Source organism: Homo sapiens, chromosome 12 (assembly GCF_000001405.40).
Source record: "Homo sapiens chromosome 12, GRCh38.p14 Primary Assembly".
NCBI classification, from domain to species: Eukaryota; Metazoa; Chordata; class Mammalia; order Primates; family Hominidae; genus Homo; species Homo sapiens.
In genome coordinates, this window is record NC_000012.12 from 56457422 (window position 1) to 56468568 (window position 11147).

An 11147-nucleotide genomic window follows, 5' to 3' on the forward strand; every position below is an offset into this window, starting at 1 on the left:
TTATGTAATTGTTGGCTGGGGGCAATGGCTCATGCCTGTAATCCCAGCACTTTGGGAGGCTGAGGCAGGCGGATCACCTGAGGTCAGGAGTTGGAGACCAGCCTGGCCAACATGGTGAAACCCCATCTCTACTAAAAATACAATAATTAGTCGGGCATGGTGGTGGGTGCCTGTAATCCCAGCTACTCGGGAGGCTGAGACAGGAGAATCGCTTGAACCCGGGAGGTGGAGGTTGCAGTGAGCCAAGATTGTGCCACTGCACTCCAGCCTGGGCAACAAGAGCGAAACTCAGTCTCAAAAATAAAATAAAATAAAATAAAATAATAGTAATTGTCAAGGTTCTAGTTTTTCTATTGGATGGATGGTTAGAAATGATGCTTAATTATCATTATTAAAAACAAATAAGTGGGAGCCATATATATAGGCCAATGAGGAGAGGATATCATGAACAACAAAATATTCTGTGTACCCCAAATTAATTAAAAACAGCAGTGACAACAATATATGCTTTACCACTTTCTAGTTGGGCAAGTTATCCCCGCTATATATAGGTTCCAGGAGGGCAGGGCCCATGTCTGATTTTTCACCAGTGCGAACCTGGTGCTTAACACACAGAAGGCAGTAAATAAATATTTGCCGAATAGATTAGATTAGCATAAGCTTGCTTGCTTTTTTTTTTTTTTTTTTGAGACAGAGTCTCTCACTCTGGAGTGCAGTGGTGCCATCTCAGCTCACTGCAACCTCCACCTCCTGGGTTCAAGCCTCCCAAATAGCTGGCATTACAGGTGCACGCCACCACACCTGTCTAATTTTTGTATTTTTAGTAGAGACAGGGTTTCACCACGTTGGCCAGGCTGATCTCGAACTCCTGGCCTCAAGTGATCCGCCTGCCGAGGCTTCCCAAAGTGCTGGGATTACAAGCCTGAGTCACTGCACCTGGCCAGATTAGCATAAGCTTTCTGAGTCTCAGTTTCCTCTGTATCAAATAAGATAATGTAGGTAAAGAGACTAGTACAGTGTCTGGCACAGAATAAAGCACTTAAAAACAGGAGCTACCTGCACCTGTAGTCCCAGCAAATCAGGAGGCTGAGGTAGGAGGATCGTTTGAGCTCAGGAGTCAGAGAGCAGCGTGGGCAATATGGCAAAACCCCTCCTGTACAAAAAATACAAAAATTAGCCAGGCACAATGGCACACACCTGTAGTCCCAGCTACTGGGGAGGCTGAGGTGGGAGGATGACTTGAGCCTGGGAGGTAGAGGTTGCAGTGGACTGAGATGGCACCACTGCACTCCAGCCTTGGTGACAGAGTCAGGCCCTGTCTCAAAAAAAATTGAAAATTTGGCTGGGTGCGGTGGCTTACACCTGTAATCCCAGCACTTTGGGAAGCTGAGGTGGGCGGATCATCTGAGGTTGGGAATTCAAGACCAGCCTAGCCAACATGGCAAAACCCCATCTCTACTAAAAATACACAAAAAAATTAGCCAGGCGTCATGGTGTTCACCTGTCATCCCAGCTACTTGGGAGGCTGAGGCAAGAGAATCACTTGAACCCAGGAAGTGGAGGCTGTGGTGAGCTGAGATCACACCACTGCACTCCAGCCTGGGAGACAGAGTGAGACTCCGTCTCAAAAAAAAAAATTATAATTAAAAAATTTAAAAAGTAAACAGAAGCCACTCAATGGGGTTTTATTAACAGGAATGGGTTATCTCTACCCACTAATCCTGTAGCCTCTTATAATAAGAGATGGAACAGCAAAGGGCAGTTAATTCAATCTCTTATAGACGACAAATAAAATGGCTAGCTTTCCTTATCTGCAGCTACCATCCTCTTGCCTCTATTCTTCATCAAACATTGACAAGAATTCCATGGAGAACTAAACCTCGGCCCATTTCCTTTGACATCAGTCTCCCCACTTAGATAAATGCCAGCCTCTTTCAAACCTAACTAGAGATGAACTCTTAAAAGCTTACTTGAGTTTTTGCATAGATTTACATACAATTAGTATGCTTATTGTTTTCTACTAGCCTAGCCTTTTATTTTTATTTTTTTTACAGACATAGTCTCACTGTGTTGCCCAGGCTGGAGTGCAGTGGCGCTATCAAAGGTCATTGCAGTCTTAAACTTCTGGGCTCATGCAATCCTCCCACCTAAGCCCCCTGAGTAGCTGAGACTACAGGCACGTGCCACTGCACCCAGCTTATTTAAAAATTTTTTGTAGAGATGAGGTGTTACTGCGTTGCCCAGGCTGGTCTCAAACTCCTGGCTTCAAGCCAACCTACCGATTCTACCACCTCAGCCTCCCAAAGTGCTGGGATTACAAGCATAACCATAGAACCTGGCCTTTTTTTTTTTTTTTTTTTTTTTTTTTTTTGAGACGGGGTCTTGCTCTGTCTCAAAAAAGGTGAGACTCCAGGCTGGGGTGTAGTGACGCAATCTCCCAGGCTCAAACAATCCTCCCACCACCTCAGCCTCCCAAATAGCTGGGACTACAGGCATGCACCATCACACCTAGCTAATGTTTGTATTTTTTGTAGAGATGGGGTTTTGCCGTGTGACCCAAGCTTATCTTGAACTCTTGGGCTCAAGCAATCTGCCTGCCTTGGCCTCCCAAAGTGCTGGGATTACAGGCGTGAGGCACCTCACCCAGCCTTAGCCTAGCCTTTTTAACAAAAAAACAACAAAAAACAAATACAATCCAGGCGCAGTGGCTCACGCCTGTAATACCAGCCCTTGGGAGGCCGAGGCGAGCGGATCACGAGGTCAGGAGATCGAGACCATCCTGGCTAACACGGTGAAACCCCGTCTCTACTAAAAATACAAAAAATTAGCCGGGCGTGGTGGCAGGCGCCTGTAGTCCCAGCTCCTCGGTAGGCTGAGGCAGGAGAATGGCGTGAACCAGGGAGGCGGAGCTTGCAGTGAGCCGAGATTGCACCACTGCACTCTAGCTTGGGCGACAGAGCAAGACTTCATCTCAAAACAAAAAACAAAAAACAAAAAAAGGCTGTGTCTCCCTTCAGAAGTGGGATGCACCTGTGGTCCCAGTTACTTGGAAGGCTGAGGCGGTGAGCTGTGATGGTGCCACTGCACTCCAGCCTGGGCAACAGAGTGAAACCCTGTCTCAAAACAACACCATAAAATAACCAGGCCTTAGCGTGGTTCACTGAGCCTGTGGAGGTTGAGGCTGCAGTGGGCCATGATTGCACTACTGCACTCCAGCCTGGACCACAGAGTGAGACTCTGTCTTAAAAAACAAAACAAAATAAAAACAAAAACAAAAGAAAAGAAATCTGCCAAGGAAGGTGACTTTGGAGAATTGCCTAGGAATAAGGGGATTTCTGGGGTCTAACCCTCCCGGGTGATGCCAGGACACACTCCAGTTCATCTTCCTCTTTTTTTCTTGTTCACTTGTTCCCCCCTTTGCTATTATTCTACTTCATTCTTGTATTTGGGGTTCTTTTCAGGGGTTGCAAAATGTTTTTAGCTATAGATTCTCCACCTTTCTTTTCTTCTGGCATTAAGTAAGTATACAAATGTTTTTGAAGTTTTTTCCAACAGGGACTATGAAAATGGAGAAAGGATTTGTAAAATAACAAATTTGAGTAATTACAAAGTTATTATAAATCTTAATGGCTCCTAGCAGTAATCACCCTGAATTCTCATTTGTCTCTATACTTAACTGAGTTAGCTCTTGATTACTAATGATCAGTCTTTCAAACTTTAGGACAGTGACAGTGATCCTAGCTTACTCCCCACTTCAATAAGGAAGGCTCCATTGCTTAGTCCCAGAGAGTGCTATACAACCATAATCCATAGTAATAGAGAGCAAGTGGGTCTATATAGCTTAGGAAATCTGCAGGCAGAGCTATTTTTCTTGCTGTGTTCCTCCACAGTGGGTCCCATGTGATTACCATAGTCACCTCTAAGGATGTCCAGGACTGACTCACCATCTTACTGCAGCTACTCCCTAGCCAGCTCATATTATCAGGACCTGAAGAATATATCAGGTTTGAGTTCCATAAACGATCTACGCTGGACAGGTGTGGTGGCTCGTGCCTGTAACCTCAACACTTTGGGAGGCCAAGGCAGGAGGACTACCTTGTCAGGAGTTCAAGTCCAGCTTGGGCAACATAACAAGACCCTGTCTCTATAAGAAATTTTTAAAAATTAGAGGGTGTGGTGGCACGTGCCTATAGTCTTAGCTACTCAGGAGGCTGAGGTGGAAGGTTCACTTGAGTCCAGGAATTCAAGGCTACAGTGAGCTATGATTATGTCACTGCATTCCAGCCTGGGTGACGGAGCGAGACTGTGTCTCTTTAAAAGAAAACAAAATAGTATTTTACTGCCTATCCGGCCAGATTGTAAAAATATAAATAAATGTAAATATATATAAATAAATTATATATATAAATTATATATAAAATAAATAAATAAAATGTAAAAGGAAAAATAGCCAGTCATGGTGACTCATGCCTGTAATCCCAGCACTTTGGGAGGCCAAGGCAGGAGGATCACCAGAGGCCAGGAGTTCAAGGCTGCAGTAAGCTTATGGCACCACTGCACTTTAGCCTTGGCAACAGAGGGAGACTCTGTTCAAAACAATAAATAAAGGCCAGGCGCAGGGGTTCACACCTGTAATCCTAGCACTCTGGAGGCCGAGGCAGGCGGATTACTTGAGGCCAGGAGTTCATGACCAGTCTGGCCAACATGGTGAAACCCGTCTCTACTAAAAATATAAAAATTAGCTGGGCATGGTGGTGTATGCCTGTAGTCCCAGCTACTTGGGAGGCTGAGGCAGGAGAATGGCTTGAACCCGGGAGGTGGAGGCTGCAGTGAGCTGAGATCATGCCATTGCACTCCAGCCTGGGTGACAGAATGAGACTACGTCTCACAAAAAAATAAAAATAAAAAAAATAAATAAATAGATAAAATAAAAATAATAAAAACAAAATAAAATAAATACAAATAAATGAGCTGGGTGCAGTAGCACATGCCTGTAGTCCCTGCTATTTGGGAGCCTGAGGTTAAGGATTGCTTGAGCCCAGGAATTTAAATCCAGCCTGGACAATGTAGGCAGACCTGTCTCTTAAAAAACAAAAAAATCAAAGTATAAATGAATTGACGTGTGAATCACATATAAACATAAGTTATTATTATCATATATTGAACATCCTCTCTAGTGATTTCATTGTGGATGAATGGAGATGCAGTCCTCAGGAACTAGGTGACTATCCATCTCTGCTTCCACCATACAGAATCTCTATCCCAGCCCCCTACTCAGAATGCCAGGTCAGCATGTAACCCAGCTCCATTGTGTGGACAGTTTCAGCAGGACAAAGGCCCCAGCATAGCACAAGCCAGCCCAGCAGCCCCTTTGGCTAGCTCCTGAGGCCCTCCCCACCCCCTGCCCTTCTCCCTCTTTCTCTGGTTATGCTTTGCTGACTGCTGACTACTGGCAAAGTCCAGAACAATCACCAAGCACTGAGTGCATCATCTTTCTCCCATCCATAGTTAAGGGATCCAATTAGCACTTGGATCAGGCCAGGATTCCCACAAATTAGAAATGGGGTAATCCAAGAAATCAAGTAATAAAGAGATTAGCCCACCTTGCCTCCTCCTTTCTTTTCCTAGGGAGTCAGATACAACTTCAAGCCAAGCAGACCGGTGCTCACTATGGTCAGGTTCTGTTCTAAGCATTTTATATTTATCTCATGTATTGGTATTTTTTAGGGTTGTACCTTCCGTTTATTCCCTACTTACCCTATACCCTCTCTTTGGATGACCTCATCTACATCTACATCCACTTCATCCTTGAGATGCATATCCATATATCTATAGAACATTTCATTTAGCCCGTCCAAAACTGAACTGATTATCTTCTCATCCAAACATGCTTCTCCTTCTGCATTCCCTTATTAAGTCAGAAAGTCAGAAACTTATGAATCAGCTTTGACACCTTCCCTCATCCTCTCACTTCCATCTAATGTCACCAAAGCTCCAAGAATTCTACCTCTCAGTTAACTGAGTCTGCACCACATTTCACCTGAGAACTTTAGTGGTCTCAGACCCTGTTTGTCCCTGTTTCTAGTCTCGTCCCTTCCAATTCATTCTCCATATTGCTGCCAGCTTTATCTTTATATGGTACCCATAATTTGTAACTTCTCTGTGTTCCCTTCAACAGTTCCTGAATGCCTGAAAGACAGTCTAAACTCCTTCTCACGGCATGTAAGCCACTTCATCATCCAGCCTCAAGTTTTCCAACTGCTTTCCTTGTCTCCCCAACATGAGACTCTGGCAATATTGTGTTCCTTGTGGTTCCTTCCAATACTCTGTTCTAAATTTCATAACCCAGTGCGTTAGTCTAAGCTGTTCCTGTTGCCTCAATGTCTTTCCCGTTTTGTCTGTTAAGTAAAATTCTATCATATTCTAATTATTTTGCATTTAAGTTAAGAATTATAGGCTGGGTGTGGTCAGCACTTTGGGAGGCTGAGGTGGGCGGATCACTGGATGCCAGGAGTTCGAGACCAGCCTGGGCAACATGGTGAAACCCCGTCTCTACTAAAAATACAGCCAGGCATGGTGGTGCGCATCTGTGATCCCAACTACTTGGGTGGCTGAGGTAGGAGAACTGCTTGAACCCAGGAGGCGGCGTTTGCAGTGAGCTGAACTGCACTGCAGCCTGGGTGACAGAGCGAGAATCTGTTTAAAAAAAAAAAAGAATTATAATTACAATGAGCAACGAGGCAGCTAAATCATCTGAATGAGGAAGGTGAATTTATCAAATGAATGGTCAGCCTGTAAAAGGTAAATAATACAAGAGATGACAAGCAAGGCTATTCCCTGAATAAGGAATAAAGTAATGGATGTGTCTTAAGTGACGGTGTGAGGGATGTGTAGTGATTGCTTCAGCTCTCACAGGAACCAAAGGGGAAATCCTACAGAAACACAATCCTGGAACCTTCCCATTACTACCAAAATGCAAAGTATTGACAGAGCAGGACTTTGCTGAAGGAAATCTCTAAGCTCTCTTCTCACGTTATTTAGCTGACTGAAAAGTCTGGGCCATGCTGACCCCTGGTGGAGACAATGGGCCACTGCACTCCAAACTGGTGGCGAGGCCGGGCGGGAGGCCAAGACGGGTAGATCGCTTGAGGAAAGGGGTTCAAGATCAGCCTGGCCAACACGGTGAAACCCCGTCTCTATTAAAAATACAAAAAATTAGCCAGGCATGGTGGTGCATGCCTGTAGTCCCAGCTACTCGGGAGGCTGAGGCAGGAGAATCACTTGAACCTGGGAGGCGGAGGTTGCAGTGAGTTGAGATCACGCCACTGAACTCCAGCCTGGGTGACAGAGCCAGACTCTGTCTCAAAAGAAAAAAAAAAAAACTGGTGGAGAGAATGAGCCACTGCAGTCCAAAAAATATGGGAACAAAACTTTTTTTTTGTTTTGTTTTTTTTTTTTTTAAGACAGGGTCTCACTTCGTTGCCCAGGCTCACTGTAGCCTCGACCTCCTGGGCTCAAGCAATCCTCGTGCCTCAGCTTCCCAATTAGCTGGGACTACAGCCGTGCACCACCACACCTGGCTAATTCTAAAATTTATTTTGTAGAGATACGGTCTCCCTATGTTGCCCAGGCTGGTCTCGAACTCCTGGGCTCAAGTGATCCTCTCACCTCAGCCTCCCAAAGTGCTGGGATTACAGGCATGAGCTACCATGCCCAACCACCCTCTCCTTTTATACTCATTCGTTTTAATGAGCACATATTCTGTGGTAAAGGGAACACTAAGGCCCTGGGGCAAAGAGAACACAGTATTTAATCACCTTTCTTAAGAATTCATGACCTAAGCCGGGAGTGGTGGCTCATGCCTATAATCCCAGCACTTTGGGAGACTGAGGCAGGTGGATCACAAGGTCGGGAGTTCAAGAACAGCCTGACCAAGATGGTGAAACCCCCATCTCTACTAAAAATACAAAAAAATTAGCCAGGTGTGGTGGCAGGTGCACGTAATCCCAGCTATTCAGGAGGCTGAGGCAAGAGAATCGCTTGAACCTGGGAGGCGGAGGTTGCAGTGAGCCAAGATCACACCACGGCACTTGAGCCTGGGCAACACAGTGAGACTCTGTCTCAGAAAAAAAAAAAAAGGATTCACAACCTAATGGGTGATATAGGTTTCACTCAGCAGCACTGGGGAGAATGGAGACAAGTTAGACGGCTGATGCAGTTGACAGTGGGGGCTGGTAGGAGTAGGGGGAATGTGATAGGGATTCAGTGACAATCAGATATGTGAGAGGAGACAGACAAGCCAAGGACTCCATGGTTTCTGGGCAACTGGCTGAATATGGGTTGCAATTCATGAGATTCCCTCACTTGCTTAACCATTTCTGCTTTTCAAGCCATAGGTATGGCTTTTGGGAAGTCTCTTCCCACCACTCTCAAATATACTAAATCAGAGGTTTCTCCTTTGTTTCCTGAGCATCCTGTATGACTTCAATCATGGCACCTAGTGAATTATACTGCAATGGCCCTGTGAACTCTTGAAGAAATCATGTTTTGTGAAAACGAACAAAGAAGGTAGGCAGTAGTCATATCATGTAAAGCCTTGTGACCATGTAAGGGAATTTGAGGCAGGCACATTAACAGATTTAAGCAGGGAGGTTGCATGTCTGACTGTAATGCCGACATTGAATTAGAAGCAGACAGATAGAAGCTGGCAGATCAGCTTAGAAGCTACTCACATTTCTACATTGAAATGAGAAAGCCTTGTCCAGGCGCGGTGGCTCATGCCTGTAATCCCAGAACTTTGGGAGGCAGAGGCGGGCAGATCACCTGAGGTCAGGAGTTTGAGACAAGCCTGGCCAACATGGCAAAACCCTGTCTCTACTAAAAATACAAAAATTAGCAGGGCGTGGTGGTGGGCGCCTGTAGTCCCAACTACTTAGGAGGCTGAGGCAGGAGAATTGCTTGAACCTGGGCAGTGGAGGTTGCAGTGAGCCGAGATTCTGCCACTGCACTCCAGCCTGGGTGACAGAGTGAGACTCAGTCTCAATAAAAAAAATAATAAAATAAAATAAATAAATAAAAGAAATGAGAAAGCCTTAAGGCCAAGGATGACAGTGGCCTGAACTAGGGCCATGTGCATCATTCAAGGCAGTTACCACTCTGGGAGAGGAGGAAGAATTTTTGGTTAGTTATTTAGGCTTTTAAATATCTAGGCCAGAAGCCAGGTGTGGTGGCTCACACCTGTAATCCCAGCACTTTGGGAAGCTAAGGTGGGTGGATCACTTGAGGTCAGGAGTTCGAGACCAGCCTGGCCAACATGGTGAAACCCTGTCTCTACTAAAAATACAAAAATTAGGCCAGGTGCAGTGGCTCACGTCTGTAATCCCAGCACTTTGGGAGGCTGAGATGGGTGGATCACCTGAGGTCAGGAGTTTGAGACCAGCCTGACCAATATGGTGAAACCCGTCTCTACTAAAAATACAAAAATTAGCCGGACGTAGTGGCATGCGCCTGTAGTCCCAGCTACTCAGGAGGCTGAGACAAGAGAATTGCTTGAACCCGGGAGGCGGAGGTTACAGTGAGCCAAGGTTGCGCCACTGCACTCCAGCCTGGGCAACAGAGTGAGACTCAGTCTCAAAAAAAAATTAGCCAGGTGTGGTTGGTGGGCATCTGTAATTCCAGCTACTCAGGAGGCTGAGACAGGAAAATTGCTTGAACTCCAGAGGCAGAGGCTGCAGTTAGCCAAGATCAAACCACTGCACTCCAGCCTGGGTGATAGAGTGACACTCCGTCTCAGAATATACATTTTAAAAATATATATCTAAAATCCTTTTTTGAGGGGTAGGAGGATGGAGGTGGGATGTATGTTGCTATTGCACTGGCCAGCAGAACCTTGAGAAGTGGACTGATTAAAAAAATGTAGGCCTGGCATAGTGGCTAACACCTGTAATCACAGCACTTTGGGAGGCAAAGGTGGGAGGATGGCTTGAGCCCGAGAATTCGAGAACAACTTGGTCAACAAAGCGAAACCCCCGTTTCTACAAAAAAGTTAACGGGGCATGGTGCGTGCACATGTGGTCCCAGCTACATGGGAGGCTGAAGCAGGAAGATCGCTTGTGCCTCGGAGATGAAGGTTGCAGTGAGCTGTGTTTGCGCCACTGTGCTGCATGCAGCCTGGGTGACAGAATGAGACCCTGTCTCAAAAAATAAAATAAAATGGAATGCAGATCGAAATGTTCAATATAGGCTGTCCATAATCTCCTACCTCATACCCTGAACCAAAATATTGCTACTCTTGGTTAAGTTCAGAAAACTGAATGCTGAGTTAAACCATCCGTTCCTAGCCTTGAACATACAAAACCAACATTAACAGTATTTATGTATTTACTATTAATTATAAACAACTGTGAATTACCCAATGGTTGCTATTTGCCAATATATATCTAGATTAATTATTATTATTTTTTGAGATGGAGTCTTGCTCTGTCACCAGGCTGGAGTGCAGTGGCAGAATCTCGGCTCACTGCAACCTCCCACTCCCTGGTTCAAGCGATTCTCCTGCCTCAGCCTCCCGGGTAGCTGGGATTACAGGCGCGCGCCACCACGCCCGGCTAATTTTTGTACTTTTGGTAGAGGCGGGGTTTCACCATATTGGCCAGGATGGTCTTGATCTCCTGACCTCGTGATCCGCCTGCCTCGGCCTCCCAAAGTGCTGAGATTGCAGGCGTGAGCCACCGCGCCCGGCCTAGATTATTCTCACTTAATTATTACTAAGGTCTGTATATAATTTCTATTTTATAAATTAGAACACTAAGGCTCAGAAAAGTGGAGTGAGTTGCCCAAACTCACACAGTGAAGCCGGGATCAAAGCTAATTACAGTACTGTCTAATTTTAAAATCTATACTTCTAAGCATCTGGCTACACTATATCTCTAAAAGTTTTACGTAGTTCAAATGTGAGCAGCGTTCGTCTACGCAGAAAAACTGAATAAGCAGCATTAACCGCGGGCAGAAACAGAACAGAAACCACTACCTTGGCGGCCGCCCGCCCCCGGGCGTCGCCTACGTCATAACACTGCGCGGCCGCCCCTCGCGCACCACGTGCTAGGGGAGCGGGCGGGCAGATGGCTGTGTCTGTAAGCGGGAGGCGT

The 11147-nt window shown here is 45.7% G+C and overlaps 2 annotated features.

Annotated features, from left to right (window-relative positions):
* Window positions 10825–10894: an enhancer, noted in NCBI's record as "active region_6498". NCBI's record gives its function as "activates an Ori minimal core promoter by ATAC-STARR-seq in GM12878 lymphoblastoid cells {active_cell/tissue: GM12878}" and the evidence as "EXISTENCE:reporter gene assay evidence [ECO:0000049][PMID:35858748]".
* Window positions 10905–11084: an enhancer, noted in NCBI's record as "active region_6499". NCBI's record gives its function as "activates an Ori minimal core promoter by ATAC-STARR-seq in GM12878 lymphoblastoid cells {active_cell/tissue: GM12878}" and the evidence as "EXISTENCE:reporter gene assay evidence [ECO:0000049][PMID:35858748]".